General features: G+C 41.3%; 4 annotated features.

Annotated features, from left to right (window-relative positions):
• Nucleotides 1,062-1,356: a silencer, noted in NCBI's record as "tiled region #6038; K562 Repressive non-DNase unmatched - State 2:TssF". NCBI's record gives its function as "represses a minimal TATA promoter and a strong SV40 promoter by Sharpr-MPRA in K562 cells {active_cell/tissue: K562}" and the evidence as "EXISTENCE:reporter gene assay evidence [ECO:0000049][PMID:27701403]".
• Nucleotides 14,936-14,985: an enhancer, noted in NCBI's record as "active region_9470". NCBI's record gives its function as "activates an Ori minimal core promoter by ATAC-STARR-seq in GM12878 lymphoblastoid cells {active_cell/tissue: GM12878}" and the evidence as "EXISTENCE:reporter gene assay evidence [ECO:0000049][PMID:35858748]".
• Nucleotides 20,602-20,896: an enhancer, noted in NCBI's record as "tiled region #12189; K562 Activating DNase matched - State 5:Enh". NCBI's record gives its function as "activates a minimal TATA promoter and a strong SV40 promoter by Sharpr-MPRA in K562 cells {active_cell/tissue: K562}" and the evidence as "EXISTENCE:reporter gene assay evidence [ECO:0000049][PMID:27701403]".
• Nucleotides 20,602-20,896: a silencer, noted in NCBI's record as "tiled region #12189; HepG2 Repressive non-DNase unmatched - State 23:Low". NCBI's record gives its function as "represses a minimal TATA promoter and a strong SV40 promoter by Sharpr-MPRA in HepG2 cells {active_cell/tissue: HepG2}" and the evidence as "EXISTENCE:reporter gene assay evidence [ECO:0000049][PMID:27701403]".

Genomic DNA, 22,448 nt, shown 5'->3' on the forward strand with positions numbered 1-22,448 from the left:
ACTTTTAGATATTTTTATCTCCAGTTGTTTTTCAGATGAGATTGAGGAAGATTAAGTAATTTGTGCAAGACCACATAACGAGCAAGTGAAAGACCCAGGACTTGAGCCCAAGGCTTTCTAATTGTAAAAGTAGAATCTATCCCCTCAGTCTACTCCACTGTTGCCCAAGCTAATGTTAAGAACACAAATCCGGCTGGGCACGATGGCTCATGCCTGTAATCTCAGCACTTTGGGAGGCCGAGGTGGGTGGATCACTTGAGATGAGGAGTTTGAGGCCAGCCTGGCCAACATGGTAGAACACCGTCTCTACTAAAAATACAAAAATTAGCCGGGTGTGGTGGTGTGTGTCTGTAGTCCCAGCTAAGCAGGAGGCTGAGGCAGGAAAATCACTTGAACCTAGGAGGTGGAGGTTGCAGTAAGCCAAGATCGCGCCACTGCACTCCAGCCTGGATGACAGAGTGAGACTCTGTCTCAAAAAAACAAACAAACAAACAGAAAAAGAGACCACAAATCTGAGGCCCCATCCCAGACCCACTGAAGCAGAATCTCTAGGGAGGAACTTAGAAACATTTGTGTAACAAGACACCAGATGATGATTATTATCAGAGAAGTTTAAAAAAAAAAAAAAAAAAAAGACACCTCTATTGCATCAGATGGGAAATGGACCTACAGCATCCTCTGAGGGATCAAATAAAAGCCATCAGATTTGAAGTTCATACAAGTAAAAATAAATCAGGTCAGTCTGGAGCATATCAGATTATGATATTATAGACTATTCTTCAGTTTGGTAATATAGAATTGTCTGATTTAAGGTTTTCTGGATCTTAAAATACCAAGAACATTTGAAAAGTTAAAAATGGGTTCCAATTTAAACCTCAGACTTTTTTTTAGCTTTCCTCACTGCCTCTGATCCTGAGGAGCAGAAGTGAATGTGAACGCACTTTGAATTCCTAGCAGCTTTCACTGATGCAGAGGTTCCAGCTGTACAGGGGCTGGAGGACTGCTGAGGAGAACAACAAGCTGAGAATCAGTCCTCATCTCTGGTTGCCCCCCACCCCACCCTCATTGCCTTTCATTGGATGAGCAAGTCACACAATCCAGGAAGTGGAAAATCTATCATCGCTTGGTTGGTTTTTCTTAGTTTCAGTTTTTCCACGCCTGATGAGAATTGCCAAGGCACAGCAAAGCCTGCAGCTTCCATACCCGTCATGAGAGCAAATAACTTATTTGTAAACCTAAGCACTTAATTAACTAAATGGAAAGCAAGGCAGTGAGTGATTCCTGACATGGCCGAATTTAAGTCAAGCTGTGAAGCTCCAGGTGCAGCCAGAAATGGAGATGGACAACTTGAACTGAACCCTGAGAGCTTCTAAAAAGGCTTTGGACCACTGCTTCTCAGCAGTTTTTCTTGTAAGTTATTCCCATTATCTCAAAGAAAAATTTAAAATATGGTTGGAGAAAAGTATAGAACTGATTATCCCCATTTTGAGCATAGATCATCGTTTAACCAACTTGCTTTCTAACTGCCAAGAAACTTGCTTTGGATGGTATTTCCAGACATAATGTCTATCATAGCAAATATTGACAATTGCATTTTACAAATAATCAGTTTAATATGCTTTAATATGCTTCTATTTCTGATTGCTCTTGATCTCATTTAATCTTCGAAGCAACTCTATCACGTTGGTGTGCTTATTAACATTATTTTACAGATAAAGACGCCTGTAAGTAGCTTCCTCACAGGGTATTTAAGGAACTTGTAGAAAGTCCACAGCTAGTAGCTGGGAGCCCATCTCATATCAATACACTAGCTTCTCCCCAAAGAACTTTATATATTTAGGCCATTGATTTCTTTTTTTTTTTTTTTGAGACGGAGTCTCACTCTGTCACCCAGGCTGGAGTGCAGTGGCAACATCTCGGCTCACTGCCACAGCTCCACCTCCCGGGTTCACGCCATTCTCCTGCCTCAGCCTCCCGAGTAGCTGGGACTACAGGCACCCGCCACCAGGCCCGGCTAATTTTTTGTATTTTTAGTAGAGACGGGGTTTTATCGTGTTAGCCAGGATGGTCTTGATCTCCTGACATTGTGATCCGCCCACCTCGGCCTCCCAAAGTGCTGGGATTACAGGCGTGAGCCACCGCGCCCGGCCTTAGGCCATTGATTTCTAAAAAGACAAATTCTCATATTGGATTAAAACATAAGACCCAACAATACGTATGTTGCTTAAAAATAGGAATCTGTTACCCAAAAAATGCAGAAATGCTAAAATAAAAAGGTTTAATGAGGAAACTCATACGACAAAAAGAAAATAGTTGGTAAAGTTGATAGCATATAAAAGAGATTTTGAAGCCAAAAACACAGGGAGAGGATACAAAGAAGCTCCTGATTATGATAAAAAATAGAAAATCAACTGTGAAGACAGAGGTTACTAAAGTCAGAAATGCAAAGAGAAATAGAATAAAAAACAAGCAATTGTAAAGGGAGAGTTTAATTCATTTCAAGGCTAAGAAAAAAATAGACAAGAGTAAAAAATAAAGACAAATTTAAATAGACAAAAATTTAGAAGACATTGAAGACGTGACAAAAATAGACAATAGAGGTTATGTTATACAATTGATAAGTTAGAACCAATAGACATACACTGAACTCAATACCAACATAGATTACACATTTTTTTCCATATGGGGGCATTGGTACATATATACTAACTCTCAAATAAGGCCCTAAAAATTGAATCAAGAGGAAAAAATATACATATTTTCTCACCACATGCAATAAAGCTAAATGTGAATAAGTAAAAGCAATGAAAGGAGCCTTGGGCAAAAGAATAATCTAACCAAGAGCCTTTGCAGCAAACAGTTCGGGGTTTAGATTATAAACTACATTCCTTACTGCAGTGTGACCTGGGCAGTTTACTGAACCTCTCTGAACCTTGGATTCCTCATCTAAAAATGAGGCTCTACCTTGCAAAGTTGTTATGAAGATTACCTATAAGTATGTCAAATAAACTAAGACTTAAAAGAGAGTTAAAACCGTAAGCCGTACAATATAACTCCATTTTTAATGTACTCATATTTAACTAGAAAAAGTATCTAGAGTTTTTGTCGATTGAAAGCAAAAGTCTATAAAATATTCATCTAAATACTAACAGTGGTTATCTCTGTGCACTGATATTTCTGCCAATTTTTGTTATATTGCTTTATCTTTTCTACTATGAATATATAGTATGTGAATAATAAAAAATAGTAAATTTGAAAATAAACATGAACTTCTGAAAAACAGAGTACAAGAAGAAAATAAATATTTACTCTTGGGTGGCCTACAGATGGTGGTTGCGGTAGGCATACAGCCATCTCAGTTTCTTGTCTGTCATTGTAAATTCTAAAATACCCTCAATTTCTGTCTTTCTACATATATACACGTATACGCACACACATATATAAAACACACATATATTTTATATTTATATATGTTTTATATATATGTTTTTAATATATGTTTTATATATATTAAAAAACACAATATTGGGATAACTGACAATTTGAATGTGGATGGTGGGATTAATCATATGGTATCATGAAATTTCCTGATTTTACTGTTAAATTTCTTGAATTTTATAAAAGAAAATATTTGTGTCCAGAAATATATATTGAAGTATTTAGATATATATGTATGTATGCAGCTTACTCTCAAATTGTTCAGAAAAACATTCACATATCCATAAAGACAGAGTGAATGATAACTAGGGAAAAATACAAACCAACAGTGCACCTAGGTAAAGGGTGTATAGGAGTTCATACTAGTCTTTTAACATTTCTGTAAGTTTAAAATTATATTAAAATATTAATAAAAAATTACAGCAGCAACAAATTAATGGGTATCAATGTCTAACAACCACAAAAACTTTCCTAAACTACAAGTTCAAGTAGAACAGGGGTCTCCAACCCCCAGTACCAGTGTGTGGCCTGTTAGGAACCTGGCCACACAGCAGGAGGTGAGCAGCAGAGCTTTATCTGTATTTACAGTCGCTACGCATCAGTCACATTCACACTAAACTCCGCCTCCTGTCAGATCAGCAGTGGCATTAGATTCTCATAGGACCACAAACCCTATTGTGAACTGTGCCTGTGAGGAATCTAGATTGCATGGTCCTTATGAGAATCTAATGCCTGATGATCTGTCACTGTCTCCCATCACCCCCAAACAGGACCATCTAGTTTCAGGCAAACAATCTCAGGCCTCCCACTTATTCTACATTACGGTGAGTAGATTATAGTTATATCATTATTTCATTATATATTAACAATGTAATAATAATGGAAATAAAGTACACAATAAATGCAATATGCTCAAATCATTCTGAAACCATCACGCATCCACCCCCATTCATGGAAAAACTGTCTCCCACAAAACTGGTCCCTGGTGCCAAAAATGTTAGGGACCAGTGAAGTAGATAATTAAGAACATGATAACAACTTTTGAGATGTTTATAAAATTGAAAACACCCCATATCAAAAGGGAGGGGGCTTTGTATAAATCAGAGCCCAGAAGTTAAGGCGTAAATCTATGTGCTTTTATTTTAGAAATATGAAATAAACATTTGACTTAAAATCTTATGAAGACAGTCAATATAAAGGAAAATAGATAATAATAAAGAGTAAGGACAGAAATAAACTAGAAAAGAGGAAATCAGTGGAAATAATACATAAATTTAGATGCTCATTCTGTGAGAAGATTATAAGATAGATCAATCCCTTGGAAATACAATAAATAAAAGAAAAGGTATAAATCAACAAAATTAAAAACAAGGCTAGTGATTTAACAACCGATACAAAAGATTTTAAAATATAAATGATTGCAATGCAAAATTTATGATAATCAACTTGAAATGCTTAGCCAAATGGACAACACAAAATATTAACTGGCAAGAGAAAATGTAGATAACATGAAAATAATGATGAAGGCAAAGGAAACTGAAAAGCTGTTATTTAAAAAAATCTCATCTACCACAAGAAATATTATGACCTCAACAAATTTACTGAACAATATTACTACATACTCAAGAAACAGATTTTTCTGTATTATGTAATCAGTTCCAAATCACAGAAAAACAAGATCTGATACCCAATTCATTCTAAGAGATGAGTATTATCCCCATCCACAAACCTGTGAGAAATACCACACAGGCGCACACACACATAAACACACGGTCTTAGGATGGCAAATGTGCACAAGTGCCAATTCCTATAAAACTGGCTCGAAATGATTAGAACCAGGCTCAAAGATATTAGCAGATTTTCCCAAAACAGCTGCTGAATAAGTGAATATATGAATACACAGATGAAGAAAATAATGCAGGCAATTAGCAACATCTACTAAAGACCTAAAAGGCAGGAATGGCTTGTGCATACTGTCTATTTGCTAAATTTTATTGATCAATAAATTTTATCTATCCATGGGTTACTCAAGGAGCATAGGCAGAAAAATCATTTTTAACTGAGCTTATAAAATACAGCTATAAATTAAAACAATAGCATGTAGCCACTAATTAAGGTAAATTCTACTGATGCCAGAAGATTATAACAAATCACAGAATATCTTTTGTAAAGGAATTACTATTTGGGCTGGACCCAGTGGCTCATGCCTGTAATCCCAGCACTTTGGGAGGCCAAGGCTGGTGGATCACAAGGTCAGGAGTTCAAGACCAGCCTGACCAACATGGTGAAACCCCGTCTCTACTAAAAAATACAAAAAAAAAAAAAAAAAAAAAAAATGGCTGGGTGTGGTGGTGCATGCCTGTAATCCCAGCTGCTCACGAGGCTGAGGCAGGAGAATCACATGAACCCGGGAGGTGGAGGTTGCAGTGAGCAGAGATCACGCCATTGCACTCCAGCATGGGCAACAGAGCAAGACTCCATCTCAAAAAAAAAAAAAAAAAAAAAAGGAAAATTGAAGAAATGAAGACATTAAGGATATTCCTGAAGGGAAAGACTGTGTAAATCTCATTAAACAAAAATGTAAACTCTGTGAAACAAGACATTACAGGCGATATGAAAGATAAAATGCAAACTGGGAGGATATCTGCAATGAACTAATAGAAATAAGGACAAAAGATATGAATAAGCTATTCTCAGCAACAGAAATTTGAATGAACAATCACACACGTAAGAAAATGTTCAACCTCACCAGTAATCAGAAAATTTAAAATTAAAACAATGAGATACCATTTTACATCCATCAAACTGGTGAAAATTAAATAATCTGACACTCCTCAAGTGTTGGTGATGAGGTGGAAAAACTGAAGGAACACTCACATTTTGCCAACGATACTTTCACGGAAGTAATTTATTTGAAGAATAAATTGTCAACATCTTACTAACTCTGATGGGACATATATCTTACAATCCAGCAATTTCACTTCTAGGAATAAACTCTAGAAGCTTTCACTTGTGGATGATGCAATGTCTACTGCAATATTGTAATAGGAAAATGAAAAAACTAAATAACACAAGTATCCATCAACCCAATGAACAAATTCTGATACTTTCTTAAAATGGGACCATTTGTAGGTGTTTTATCAACAGAGATAAATCTCGAAAATACACTGCTGAGTGACAAAACAAGTTGCAGATAGATGTGTAGAGTATAAAAGTTTGAAAACATACAAAATAATGGTACAATCATCCCTCTATATCCATGGGATTCCACATCCATAGATTCAATCAACCGAGGATGCAAAATATTTGGGGGGAAAATTATACAAAATTCCAAAAGGCAAAACTTGAATTTGCCACATCCTGAGTACCATGTTAAAACCAGGCAAATGAAGGGATGTATAGGCATTGTATTAAGTATTATAAGTAATCTAGAGGTGATTTACAGCATATGACAGAATGTGCATAGGTTATATGCAAACACTACACCATTTTGTATCAGGGACTTGAGCATCAGTGGGTGGTCCTGGAACCAATCCCACACAGATACTGAGGAACTACTGTATATTTTTCGTAGCTACATACATATGCTGCAAACATATACACACAGAGATGAGAATGAAAGACACCAAACTCAGGGTGGCGTTGCCTCTGAGACAGGAAAAATAAGATCAGGCTTGAGAAGAGATACACAGTTATACAGGTACAGCACTCTATTTTTTAGCAAAAATAGGAAGCAAGTACAGCAAAATATTAGGATTTGATGGAGCTGGGAAGTAGGTGGTATTCAAAACTATGCATTATACGCATGCGTGTGTTTGAAATCATTATAATTTCTTAAGTGAGCACCTCAGTTTTTACATATAAAAACATATAAAGTATGTAAAATATATAAATATCATGAACAGATAATTCATAAAGAAAGAAAAAAGGCAATAAAAATGGAAGTGGTGGTAAATTCAACTTCAACCCATTGGTTTTAAAGAAAAATTTAAAAATGCACATACCATTTTGGCTTATCAATTTAGCATAAAATTACAAAAATGTTAATAGCTAATGTTAACAAGGGTGGAGGATAGGACAGAGGAGGAGTACACTCACTGCTAATGAGTACTTAAAATGACAGAAATTTACTTAACGTAGCAGTGTATATGTAAAGGCAAAATATATAGGTAGATATAGATACCTAGATATAAAACCTTTGCCTTAGCAATTCTACTTTAAGAAATTTATACAAAGGAAAACGTGGTACATATATGATCTGTAGTATTATTTTTAAGGAATACTACGCAGCCATAAAAAAGAACAAAATCACATCCTTTGCAGCAACATGGCTACAGCTGAAGGTCATTATCCTAAGCAAATTAACACAAAAGCAGATAAACACTGCACGTTCTCACTTATAAGTGGGAGCTAAACATTGAGTACAAGTGGACATAAAGATGGAAATAATAGACAGTGGCATTCTAAAAGGGGTGAGAAGGAGAGGGGGACAAAGGTTAAAAAAACCTATCGGGTACAATATTCACTACTTGGGCAATGGAACCATTAGAAGCTCAAACCTCGGCATCACACAATATACCCATGTGACAAACCTGCACATGTTCCCTCAGAATCTAAAATTTTTTTAAGCTACTAAAAAAATAATTTATACAAAGAAAATCATACATGTGGACCAAGATTTATGCATATGTTTATAATAGCATTGTTCATAATAGTGTTATCTTAAATACAGTTAATGAAAAAACAATAGGGAATTAAGCCAATTATGGTACATCTATAGAGTGTAACTGTACTCTGTAGCTATTTCAAATAATGTTTTAAAAGAATATTTAATGCCCCTGAAATATGCCATTAATGTGTTGTTAATACACAGGTATTTAAACACTTTGTACAGTGTGTTTACAGTTATTTTTTTTAAATAATTGTATACATAGAAAAAATGACTTGGGGATATCCACATCAAAATGTCAACAGTGCTTATCTCTAAATGTGAAATCACAGACCTATGTATGTTTTTCTTTTTGTTCTTCTTTATTTTCCTATTTTACAATAATAAACATTTATTGATTTTATAATAGAAAAGTTATTAAAAATAAAACGTGCAACAAAATAAGCTTTGGTTGATTAAAGATTTAAATATAAAATCAAATTATGATAGAACTTGCAGACAACTGGAAAGAGAGTTTATCAGCTCTCTGGGGTAATTTTAACTTTCTCAGCTTTGAAGCAATTGAAATGATTGCACTATAAAAATTAGCATTACTGAAGATTTTTTAAGAGGGAAAATATTTCTATCAAACATTACAAAGAATTAAGATCCATCATAAATAACTAATTCAAATTTGTAAAATAAATGTCAAGATTCCAAAAGATAAATGGGTCAAAGACTGGACAATTCCCATAAGGGGCATACAATTAGTAGATAAACATAGTGGGGAAATGTTAATTCTTGCCAGAAATCAAAGACATGTAAATGGAAGCAGTCTGGAGATGCCAGTTTACATATTCTAATGGAACAACAAGAAAAAATGTCAAATGCTAATATCCATTGATGGTGGAGCTACCCAGAAATTTATCCATACCTTCATTTATAACCATATTGTTCATGTCCTTTTACCAGAAATGTTACCACTAAGAATTGATTCTTTTTTTTCTTTTCTTTTTTTTTTTTGAGACAGAGTTTCACGTTCTTGTTGCCCAAGCTGGAGTGCAATGGCGTGATCTCTGCCTCACCACAACCTCCACCTCCTGGGTTCAAGTGATTCTCCTGCCTCAGCCTCCCAAGTAGCTGGGGTTACAGGCATGCGATACCACACCTAGCTAATTTTTTTGTATTTTTAGTAGAGACAGGGTTTCCCCATGTTGGTCAGGCTAGTGTTGAACTCCCAACCTCAGGTGATCCGCCCGCCTCGGCCTCCCAAAGTGCTGGGATTACAGGCATGAGCCACCTCACCCAGCCAAGAATCGATTCTTAAGAAGTAATTTGGCTAAAGGAGAAAGGTCCCTCTTCATCTCCTTTACTTCTAAATGTTGGAACACCCAGGGCTCAGTCCCTTGACACCTTCTCTTTTCCACCCAGAGGCAGTGTCTGGGTGATCTCACCTATTTATGCAGGTGAGAGGAGCCACAGGCTCTCTCAGCATGGGCTCCAGGGAGAGAAGAGGCCAGAGCAGAGGTTTTCCTGGGAGTGGGGTAGGGGTAGCTTGAGGGCCATTCAAGGACTCTGACCTCAGTCAGAGAGGGCAATGAAGGAAAGAGAGACCAGCAAAGACATCCAGAGAGAAGCCCAAGGTGAACTTGGTCATCATATTAACCCCTATGCAATAACAAAACATCCAGGCTTGATCTACCAGAGCTTATCAGTGAGGTCCCCAGGAATTGCCTAATTGCAGTAGCCCTCAGCTCACTTGCAGGCCACCAGATCTCAGCTGGCCCTGACCACCATCTCCAAAGCCTGAAGGAATTATTGTGAGACAGCCCACTGAAGGTGGGTACCTCCAAGAGCCCTGCCCTGCCCTGCCAGAAGCCAGAGCTGTCCATCTGTTGGTGGTCACCCTGGGAATCTGGGACAAGAAGGTGCACTCTGGTCTGATGCCAGAAAGCAGAACCTCTTGGGCTCCCAAATCTCAGGATCTTTTTGCTCCACCAATGTACTCATCCACTCATCCCAGCCTGGGGCCTCTGCTTTACATGGGTCTTTTCATTGCTTAAGGATGTTTGGGCATCTACCATCTCTTCTTCTTCTTCTTTTTTATTTTTTTTTTGAGACAGAGTCTCTCTCTGTTGCCGGGGCTGGAGTGCAGTGGCCCAATCTCAGCTCACTGCAACCTCCACCTCCCTGGTTCAAGAGATTCTCCTGCCTCAGCCTCCCAAGTAGCTGGGATTACAGGCCCACACCACCACACCCAGCTTATTTTTGTTTTTTTAGTAGAGATAGGGTTTCACCATGTTGGCCAGGCTGGTCTTGAACTCCTGACCTCAAGTAATCCGCCCTCATCGGCCTCCCAGAGTGCTGGGATTACAGGCATGAGCCACTGCGCCCGGCCTCATCTCTTCTGCTTATGACCTTGTGAGGCAGGCATCCCAGGTTTCATTATCCCCGTTGTGTAAAGATTACGACTTACCTAAAGCACTGCTGGACTCAAACCCAGATCTTCTGCCCTCGATTCCATGTCCATCTCTGTGACCCCAGGTTTGGCCAAGTGTGGATCTTGCTGCATATGAACAGCCTGCCATTTCCTTCCTTGTGTACACACTGCCTGTGGAAAATGGACAAGGGAAGTTACATTTCTATCAAGAGCTGAAACAAGCAATTTTGCTTTAGAGATGATATGTAACAGAAAGAAATAGTCCTGGAAGCAGGGAGCCCTGTATGCATCTGCCTGTGTTCTGCTCCTGGCTGACCCCTGAGATCGAATCATGCTGTTTGCTAATGTGTGGAAAGTATGTTTTGCTCTCTAGGAGTCCTCCCCAGAGCCTGACAGATTCGGTGATAGGAATAGAACTGTGGAGTGAAGATGGCTCTCTCCAGGTGTCACTCCAGTTGCCATACATGTAAAGAAAGCCTAGACACTGTGATAGCTTTGTCCTCCTATCCCTGAACTTTGCCCAGAGGCGAAGCTTCTTCCCCAATCCTTGCTCAAATGCCTTCTTTTTCCTCGAAGAATCCAGGCTGTTGAGCAAAGAGGGAGATCCTGGGAGCTTCACCCAAATCATCTGGAAGTTTCTTGGGGTGCCAGATTTGAAATAGGAGCTGATAGGGTCAATCCATCAGGCACCCTGACCCTAGACATACAGGAATTCCCCTCTGAGGTTGAAGAATTCCCCCTCCATCAGACCCAAAAGTGAAAAACAAACTTTGCAAAGGCACGTTTATACCAACTCTTCTGGACGGGGCTGAGTAGAGTTTTCTCTGGTACCGGGCACATGCTGCTCACAGACTCTCTGGCCCGTGGACATGGCCCCTGGGGTCTGAGAATGCAGATGGGGGAGAGGCTCACCGAGGAGCTCTGGATGACCTGGCTCCAGTGTGTCACCTCCTGGCCTTGGCCTCCTAACCCCAGCTGGGCTGAGAAGACCCCAAAGAGGGTCTTTCCCACTCTCCCAACCTGTTTTCTCTGGTGATTAATATATAACCTGAGAAAATGAATCACTTGTTTAAATTCAGAGTTAGCTGGGCTAAGACAGGTGACAAGAATTACTCAAAAACAAGAAAGCAATATTGGGGGTAAAGATGCTTTCTATTTTTCTTTTCTTTAGTTATTTTTTTGTTTTTTGTTTGTTTGTTTAAGATAGAGACAGGATCTTGTTCTATTGCCCAAGCTGGAGTGCAGTGGCATGATCACAGCTTACCGCAGTCTTGACCTTCTGGGCTCAAGCCATCCTCCCACCTCAGCCTCCCAAGTAACTGGGACTACAGCTGTGCACTGCCACACTGGCTAATTTTTTAAAAAATTTTTTATAGAAACAGGGTCTCACTATGCTGCCCAGGCAGGTCTCAAACTCCTGGGCTCAGCCATGAGCCACCACACCCAGCTTGCTTTCTTTTTTAAATAGAAAGGAACACATAACAACTTGATTTTAAAATCAAGAACAGGAAGCATAGACTCTATACTTTCTTTAAAACATTGTAAATAAGTCTCCTATTCTTTACTACTTCAGTTAAATGGGCAGGAAACAAGAAAGGGAAGGATCAGGTGAGGGATGGGAGAAATAAAAACCATGCCGAAAAACTGCAGTAATACATAAAAACACTAATGGCTGATACGTATTTATTGGGCACTATGGTATGCACAGTTCATGGTTTTTCTCATTTTATCTCCCCCCAAGCCCTGTGAGGCAAATAATTTTACTACTCCTATTTTAAAATGAGGAAACTGAGGTGCCAGCTATTAAATAATCTGCCTGCTTAATGGGACTAAAAACCGAGAAACCAAGCTTCGAAATCCGGTTCTCAGCGATCAGAGTCTTCACTCAGGAGGCAAAAATGCAGCAAGAGACAGCTTTTTCCTCCAGAAAGAACCTTATCCTGTTATCATCAGAATTCTGTAGCTAAATACTTCCTTTACCATTTTGTAACAATACTAAATATAGGGAACATTTTGTATTTCCATGGAAAAGGATGTATTGTCTACATACGGCACAGCCTCCCTGGGTTATTTGATTCTAGCTTTCATTGCCCTTGAAGCATTTTGCAACTCTGTAAATTGCAGATAACTAATAGCAATGCAAAATGCAAATTCTGTCCTATACTGTAGAAGTTACACTGACTTCACTGCCACACTGCAGAAAAAGCTACTTCTGTATCCATTTGCCATTTGTACCTTCATTGCAACTTTTTTTTTCTTTTTTTTTTTTTGAGACGGAGTCTCGCTCTGTCGCCCAGGCTGGGGTGCAGTGGCGCGATCTAGGCTCACTGCAAGCTCCGCCTCCCGGCTTCCCGCCATTCCCTGCTTCAGCCTCCCAAGTAGCTGGGACTACAGGCGCCCACCACCACGCCCGGCTAATTTTTTGTATTTTTAGTAGAGATGGGGTTTCGCCGTGTTAGCCAGGATGGTCTCGATCTCCTGACCTCGTGATCCGCCCGCCTCGGCCTCCCAGAGTGCTGGTATTACAGGCATGAGCCACCACACCTGGCCAACATTTCTTTACTCATATAAACTTGTGTGGTTTTTTGGCTTCTCCTTTGAACTGGTTATAACACCCTTACCACTTGCCTCATTAATTAGTTAAGTAAAATATTTACCATGTACTCGTTTTTATATTTGAGAGTCATGATTTTACCTTCGTTTTTTAAAAAATTATCTCTTAATGGAATTATGAAAGCATGTCAAAAGTATCTTGCTTGTTACTTTCTGAAGGACCCCAGGCATGATCTAACTCAAATGAATGACTTCAGGCGTAATTGGATAACTGATGATGTTCTCAGTTGGGTCCTGAGAAGCACAGCCTTGTCCTGACAACTTCCTTTCAAACACTCTGCTCTATCCGGGACAAAGCATCATGGCCAAAGGCCCCGGTCCCCTCTTCCTGGCTGGTCTTCTTTACTGTTGATTGAGGAAAAGTAATTGGCATATAAATTATATGATTATGTCCCATTATAATGTTTCCATTATTTCTAACTTCTGCTATGTCTCGTAGTTTATCTCAGAGCTATCGCCATTAAATAGCTGAGAAAAGGCTTGAGAACATTTGTTTTAAAAATAATAATAAACATGTGATGTGATGGTTAATATTGAATGTCAAATTGATTGGATCGAAGGATGCAAAATACTTTTCCTGGGTGTGTCTGTGAGGGTATTGCCAAAGGAAATATTAGTAAAATTTGAGTCAATGGACTGGGAGAGGCAGACCCACCCTCAATCTGGGTGGGCACCATCTAATCAGCTGCCAGTTTGGCTAGAATAAAGCAGGAAGAAGATGGGAAGGACTTGACTTGCTGAGTCTTCCAGACTTCACCATTCTCCCATGCTGGATGCTTCCTGCCCTCAAACATCAAACTCCAAGTTCTTCAGCTTTTGGACTCTTGGACTTACACCAGTCGCTTGCCAGGAGCTCTTGGCCTTTGTCCACAGATTGAAGGCTGCAATGTCGGCTTCCCTACTTTTGAGGTTTGGGAACTCGAGCTGACCCACCACTGGCTTCCTTGCTCCTCAACTTGCAGACGACCAATCATGGGACTTTACCTTGTGATCGTGTGAGTCAATACTCCTTAATAAATTCCCTTTCATATATAAATGAAATGCACGATATATGTCTTTATACGCAGAGCAAGAGCATGACACAATTCCATCTTTTTAAGCAACTGATACACAAAGATCTCACAGCCAATCCCTACTATACTTGGCAAAACTACTTTTTGTTGTATGGACTCTGAAGTCAAACATCATTCAAGTCTCATTCCACCACTTACTACAGTATGTATTTGGGCAATTCAGTAACCTCCCTGAGCCTCAGTTTCCCCTGGGGGAAATCATGCTACATCATAGGATTCTTCCTAAAGTGTGAATGAGATCACATGGAGATTCTGGCACTGTGCAGGCACTTTGGACGCTGGCTCCTGAATTGTTAACTCCTGACTTTTAGGCCTGCCTAGGAAAAATGATGAACCATGTCAGCAAGATACCCTGTCTTCAGAAAAATGATGACTCATTGGCAGCTCTTCAGAACTTGAAACACATCATTGGGAATGAAGAGAATAAAGGGGAATTAATTCCAGGTTTCCGGCAGCCATGGATCCTGTGTGCTGAACTCAGCAAGCCTTTGTGAGATGACGACGTGGCATCCTGCTGCAGGGAGGCTTGGGCCGTTGCAATCTGACCAGTGCCCAGCCGTCCCTGATACCCAGGGTGAGGACTGTGCCCCTGAACACCCCATGGTTGGCAGCACTAGGACCAAGAGACACAGCCAGTGTGCTGGTGCCCCCCTCCCCAAACTGTCCTTGCTTGTTGCAAGCAGCTAGTTCAGTTCATGGCTTGCGGGGAGTCTCCCTCAGGAGCCAGCATGGTCACCAGTCACAAAGCCTGGCCAGCACCCCAGCAGCTGGAGGAAGCAGACACAGAGTAGACACTTCACGAATTCTAGTCTACACTCCCCCTCTTCCCCACAAAGGGGAAAACCCTGGGCAAACTTTACGGAGCCAACAATACTCACTATCTACCTGGTGTTCAAAGCCAACTTGAATCTTTATTTCCTTTTGCTTCAAAGCATAATACAAAGAGTGAAAATAGGTTTTCCATCCTACTGGAATTTCTAAGATCATAAAATGCATTGCTGGTTCCACAGTATCTAGTCATAAAAAAGACTGCTCTGGTTCTAGGGTGTTGTTGTTGTGATGATGATTTTCCCAATTGTTCTACAATCTGGCAGCTGAAATCCTGATAAGGAGAGTCCGTGGGCCAACACAGACCAGGAAACATAAAAATAAGAAGAAAGGGGATCTCAACTCTTTGCTCCCTGGCTGCATAACTTGAGACTCTGGGAATCAGAATATTAGATCTTCCAGGGACCTAGCGTCCTTATATCCAATCTATATCAATTAGATATGTGACCTTGCGTAAGGAATATCCGAACCTCAGTTTTCTCATCTGTAAAATGGGGAAAATAATTCCTACCTTATTTGTTAAGAAAATCAAAAGAGGCTTGACTATGCAGAGAGTTGTTATAAGCATTTTCATGTGATAATAATTTAACCTTCATAACCCCATTTGACGGGGGAATAAACAGGCAGAGATAGGTTACAGAATTTGCCCAAGGTCACACAACAAGTTGGAGACAGAGCTGATGCAAAGACACCCCTGGTCACCAGGAGTGATAATCTTGGATGAATAAATACCTATTTGAAATGCTTGAAACACCTAATTCTTCCAAATAGTCTAAAATGTCCTCTGCAATCTTGTTTTCACCCTTCCTTTGTTTATCAGGTCTTTTTTTTTTTCTAACACAGATAAGGAAAAGGTTAAACTCCAGTCCAACCACTTTCCAAATGAGGACGTTCCAGGCTAACTCAAATTAACGAGGTTTACCTACTTGTTTTGCCATATTCCCTCATGGCGCAAGAATGTCCACACAGATCAGTGAGTGACCCAATAAAAACTTGGTCATTCTCCTCATGGCACCCTGGCCCCAAGCAGGAGTATAAGAGGATAGAGTCATTTTCCTATAACATGATCCAAGGAAATTCATTTCATCTTGGAAGTGGACTAGGCTGATGTGCAGAGAAACCTGATTCAGTCCCAGGGAAAGCCAGATACATAGGGATTAAGGATTTGTGGTTGTTAAGAGAACAGAACTTGGCCTCAGATCCCCTGACTTCTCCTCTCTCTGTCTTTTACTGGTGAGATACAGTTTGGTACCAGTTCCCAACCTCTTAAATCTCAACTGCAAAATTAGGAAATAACAGTGTCAAATTTTATTGTTTAAAGTATTATTTTATTATAACACCAACAAAAGCTTGCCTTTCTCAGGTAAGATATCCCAGTTCCTGAAGATGAAAAGAAGAAAACCTGATTCTGGGTATAAAATTCTGTTTCTGTCATCAGTGAACTTCAACTTGGTCCCCTGGCCTCTTCCTCTTGGGATTTGCTTGCTTTATCCTTGTAAAATATCTGTTTCTTCTCTCCTAATTAACTTTCTTATCACCATGACACTAAAGAAAAAGGTCATTCTCAGGTCATCAAATGCCACTCTCTTGAAATCTTTATTTATTCAAGAAGCTCTGTAAATTAAGACAGAGCAAGAACTGGGCAATGTTTAAAAACCTAATTATAAAACCATTATTACTTTAGATAGAGGACTGCAGACCAGAGTGCAATGTCACCCAAAATAGAAACGTCTTTAAAGAATTGCAAAGGAAGAGGCCAGGCATGGTGGCTCATGCCTGTGATCCCAGCATTTTGGGAGGCTGAGGCAGGCAGATCACTTGAGCTCAGGAGTTCTAGACCAGCCTGGCCAACATGGTGAAACCCCATCTCTACTAAAAATACAAAAAAAAAAGCAAAAAAAAGCCAAGTGTGGTGGCACACCCTATAATCCCAGCTACTAGGGAGGCTGAGGCATGAGAATCACTTGAACCCAGGAGGCAGATGTTGCAGTGAGCCGGGATCATGCCATTGCACTCCAGCCTGGGCAACACAGCAAGACTCCATCCCCCCAAAAAATAAATAAATAAATAAAAGAATTGCAAAGGATGAAGCCACAGAGCTCTGCTAACATGCACCATGCTGATCACTCCATTGGAGGCTCCAAACTCTAAGAGGCTCAGGCTTGCCTCCTCTTTAGCTAATAGGAAATGAAGAGGCCTCAAGAAACTGCTGGGCTTCCTTGGGCATGGAAATGACCAAAGATGCTATGAATGGATCTATTGACTGCTCAGATGCATGGCTGGAGTCAAGCACATGACAGTCAGGTCTGGCAGCCCTGGGAGCCATTCTGTCTCTCTAAGGCAGAGGCTTTACCCATTTTTTGACAACACATCTTATCCCCAATATCTATTTATTTGTTTATAAATAATATAGCACTAGTATATTCCGTAGTACCACCTGCAAATTATATAGTACTTATATGCTATAAACATTATACGTGCACAAACATGAACTGTCTAAGGAAATACAAAGAAAAATCTGAAAGGTCTATATTATTTTCTTCTTTTGCCCCAGAAGATCTCTCAAGCACCATTCTGAGGCAATGGTTCTCAAACTTTGTGTAACCAAGAATTACTTGGAGATCTTGCTTAAAATGAAGGTTCACTGGGCCTTGACCCTAGTGTTGATTCCATTACTCAGTATTCCTGGGATGGGCCCATAAGTTGTCATTGTCTGAGCTCCCCAGCTGACTCTTATTCTCATGCTCAATTGGATTTTGCAGCCACTGATCCAGACCCTTGTGTTTTCCTGCCCCTTACATTTTTTGCTACAATTATATCACTGTGGTCTTATTGTTATCTACCTCCTGGACACCTTCGTGATCCCCTCAGTGAATTTAAACATTAAAAAAAATTAGCTACCATTAATTATTTCCTGTGGCCTAGGATTGCTGAGGGCTTCACATGCATTGCCTCACTTAATCAGACTAGGGAGGTATTATTAGTCCCATTATACAGGTGAAGAAAACTAAAGCTCAGTCACAATGTCTTATCCAAGTTCACTCAGCTAGTAAGCACAAGTGACAGACTAGGAATTCAAGCCTGTATCTGTCGGATTCCCAAGGCTGGACTCTTTTTTTTTTTTTCTTTTAGAGATAGGGTCTCACTCTGTCACCCAGGCTGGAGTGCAGTGGTGTGATCATAGCTCACTGCAGCCTCCACCTCCTGGGTTCAAGTAATATCCCTGCCTCAGCCTCCCAAGTACCTAGGACTACAGGTGTGTGCCACCATACCAGGCTAATTTTTTGGTTTTTATGTTTATATAGATGGGGTCTTGCTATGTTACCCAAGCTAGTCGCAAACTCCTGGCCTCAAGTGATCCTCCTGCCTCAGCCTCCCAAAGCACTGGGATTACAAGTGTGAGCCACTGCCCACTGCACCCAGCCTCAAAGCATGGACCCTTGACCACTAAGTATATTGCCCACAAAATAGGTCATTATAATTTATTGACCCTCTACTATGAACCAGGCACTTGGCTTGACACCTTACACACAAATCTCTAATATTCATGGCATACCTCTTTTCCTAGAGGTATTAATTTCAGTCCAGAGATTCTGATGTGCAATAAATTTCTCTATTCTCTGTAACCCATCTAAATTCCTGACTCTTAACCCCTATTTTCAGGCCTTCTGGATTTCTTCTCCCCACCCCACCCCCAACCCCAGTAGTTATGCCATAGTTCTGGACAAATACAATAGCCAGGCATGGGGTCAGGGGAGTGTGACCTAGTCCTCTGTCATCAGTCCACATTGGTGGCCACTGAGGGGCCCATCCTCCCATCAACATGACCTGCTGGCCCCAGAGACTCACTGCTCTCCCACCCTACATCAAGCCAGGTATATCTTTTGCCCATGTGCCAACACAGCCATTTCCTCCCTGGGTTCTTCTCTTCCAGCAGGATTTCTGGGAAGCAAGGTACTGTCCCCTCTGCTCTCAGACCCATAGACAAACCTCCCCCTTCCACACCACCTGCAAAGCCCAAGAGAATGTCTTTCTAGTGATGGCAAGGTGAGGGGTTCCTTCTCCCTTCACATCCCCTCAAGAAATGTTAGTCTTTTGCTTTTCTTTGTTGGCTAGAATTCACCTGCCCACACTTTGGGAGGCCAAGGCAGGAGGATCACTTGAGCCCAGGAGTTTATGGCCAGCCTGGGCAACATAGGAAGACCCTGTCTCTAAAATAAATAAAATAAAATAATATAAAATAAAATAAAATTCACTTGCCCTAAGGTCCTATATTTTTGGAAGACAAAAGATTTGTAGCCTTCTCTCTACTTTGCCCCTCTTAAGTGGAAGGGAGACAGTTTGGGAGAAAAATAAGTTGATATCTCAAAATATTATCTCAGATACATGTTGTCCCCATTTTATAGGTGAGGAGATTGAACTCATTAAGGTTATATAATATTATATACAGCAAGTAGATAGGCCTAGGACCCCCCCAGTTCAGGAAATCTCATACTCTGTGAAGTCCTCCCCTCTTCCCTGCCAGTAGCCTCCCTGGTCAGCTTCAAGAAAACACAACAGAGCTTGTGCATTAAAACCACCACTGGAAGGTCAGACCCGGTGATGGGGCAGGCTGGAAGAGCTTAGGTAGAGGTGAAAGCAGACAACACCCTGAAAGGGGACAGGTACCCACTCCTCCTTGTCATTTTCCAGGAGAGCCTTATAGAATTTGAGTTGGCATGAGATGATGTTAGAGGAATTTGGGGTGGTGCAAGTAAAGGAACTACAAGAGCTAGAAACAATCTTGAAGGCTTCTTCCCATGTTGAAAGTGTTCTTACCACGTAGAAAGTGGTAAGAAAGTGTACTCTGCAGAAATTTGGGGGGCGGGTGGGGGCACACGGTTGGTATTTCAGAGGCACTTGGATTCACTGGTGTCTTTTGATGAGTTTGTGTCCCGAATAAAATGGGGAGTGGCGGTGGTTACTGGCAGTACCCAGAGGAGAGGAGATGAGGGTGGGCACAGGGGAGAGGAGCCCGAGATGGGTAGCCAGCTGGTCTTACGTGCCAGCTTTATAGGAAAAAAAGTGGAACTTTCAGATTCTGCTTAACTGTGCAGGAGCCAGCCAAGTATCCAAGGCAGAAGTCCTTGCTCAGAAATTGTATATCTGATGGGCACGGTGACTCACGCCTGTAATCCCAGCACTTTGGGAGGCCGAGGTGGGTGGATCACAAGGTCAGGAGTTAGAGACCAGCCTGACCAACATGGTAAAACCCCGTCTCTACTAAAAATACAAAAATTAGCCAGGCATGGTGGTGGGCACCTGTAGTCCCACCTACTCTGAAGGCTGAAGCACTAGAATCGCTTGAACCTGGGAGGTGGAAGTTGCAGTGAACCGAGATCGCGCCACTGCACTCCAGCCTGGGCGACAGAGCAAGATTCCATCTCAAAAAAAAAAAAGAAAAAGAAAAAGAAATTGTATATCTGACGGGATGGTCCGCAAGCTTCGGGGCTTGGGAGGAAGGTACAGTCATAGGACAGAACACAGCTTTAGACTGGGTCAAGATCGTCCAAGTCTGGTGGTGGCTTCAGAAGGCCCTTTGAATGAGGCTCGTCCAGGCAATAATTACCATGTTATCTAATTTTGCCCGCTTAACGTTTCCACTTGGATGTCTAAGAGCCATCTCAAAGCCCCACGTGGCCAAGGCTGAATCTCTAATCTTCCCCCAACAGACCTGCTTCACTCACAGCTTCCCCTTCTCAGCTGACAGCAACCCCATTAATCTGCTTGTTCAAGCCAAAAAACCTGGAAGTCATCCTTAACTCCTCTCTTTCTCCCACATCTCACAACTCAGCAGTCAGAAAATCCTGTGGGCTCTACCTTCAAAATATATCCACCACCCATCCACCACTCCGCAGTTGCCCTTTACCATGCTGGGCCACGCCACCATCACCTCTCACTGGGCCACTGTAATAGCCTTCTAACAGATCTCCCCACTGCACCCTGGCTCACTTGCAAACCAGAGTGATATTTTAAAACTATAATACAAATCATATCACCCTTCTGCTCAGAGTCGCCCCCCATGTGTCAATGCATAAAAGTCAAAGTCCTTACAATGTCTCCCCATTCATTGGCCTCCTTGCTATTCCTGGAGCACACCAGGCATACTCCTACCTCAGGGCCTTTGCACAGACTGCCCGAAGCTCTCCTCCCCAAGACGTCCACAGGGGCAACTCCTTCACTTCCTTCAAACCTTTGCTGAAAGTTTAACTTCCCAATGCAATTCACTCTAACCACTCTGCTTAAAATCCCTACCTTCTCCCCAACCCCCTGCTTTTCTTGTAGTGGTTCCCATTACATTCTACCAGTCTACCTAATTTTTTTTTTTTTTTTTTTGAGACGGAGTCTCTCTGTGTCGCCCAGGCTGGAGTACAATGGCGCGATCTCAGTTCACTGCAACCTCCGCCTCCCAGGTTCAAGCGATTCTCCTGCCTCAGCTTCCTGAGTAGCTGGGATTACAGGCACTCACCTCCACGCCCAGCTAACTTTTGTATTTTTAGTACAGATGGGGTTTCACCATGTTGGTCAGGCTGGTCTCGAACTCCTGACCTCGTGATCCGCCCTCCTCGCCTCCCAAAGTGCTGTGATTACAGGAGTGAGCCACCGCTCCTGGCCAGAAATCTCTTCTTTATTATGTCTACTGTCCGTTATCCAACTCCAGAAGGTAAGAACCTCCACTGATACATAAGGACTTGTATACCCCACGTGCCTGCAACAGTGCTTGGCACCTAGTAGGCATACCAAAATATATAAATGTTGAACAAATGAAGAAAGTTAAAGTAAAACTAGAGGTCCAAAAATATCACAAAAGCCATCTATGGTCGCCTTTTCCCTACCTGATTTTGCTGAGTGGCCTTACTTTTCAGTCCTCTACACAGCTGGAACATTAATGAACACAGAGGGGGAAGAAGTGTGTTTACTCTAGGATCACCTCTCAATGGGTCACTTGGCAAGGGCATCTTTGCTTCTTCGTCAGCTCCTTTTGACACGGGGGTGAAGGGTTTTCTGCACCACACTTTGACCACAAGCATCACCAATTTCACTGAACCCAACAGAAATTTGGACCCTCTGGGGGCTCTCTGCGTGGCAGGGCCCTTTTCTTTTTCTTTGGGCTTAGGCTGCAATTTGAAACACCACTTTCCTGAGCCAGCATCCCCCTTGCAGCGCTGTCACAGGGAGGCTTAGGCAGCCACGTGGAAGCCACCTACCCCGACCTTTGGCAGAATTTCCAAACACAACACAGTAGCTTTAAGTTGATTAATTTGGAACTCTGACCTTGGCCCCAAAAGGTAAGAATACATAACAAGGTATTTTATTCTCAAAATGTGTCAGGATAAGAAGCACTTCTGTAAATCGACCTTTTTAAAAT

The sequence above is a fragment of the Homo sapiens genome, chromosome 15, assembly GCF_000001405.40.
Source record: "Homo sapiens chromosome 15, GRCh38.p14 Primary Assembly".
Lineage (NCBI taxonomy): Eukaryota > Metazoa > Chordata > Mammalia > Primates > Hominidae > Homo > Homo sapiens.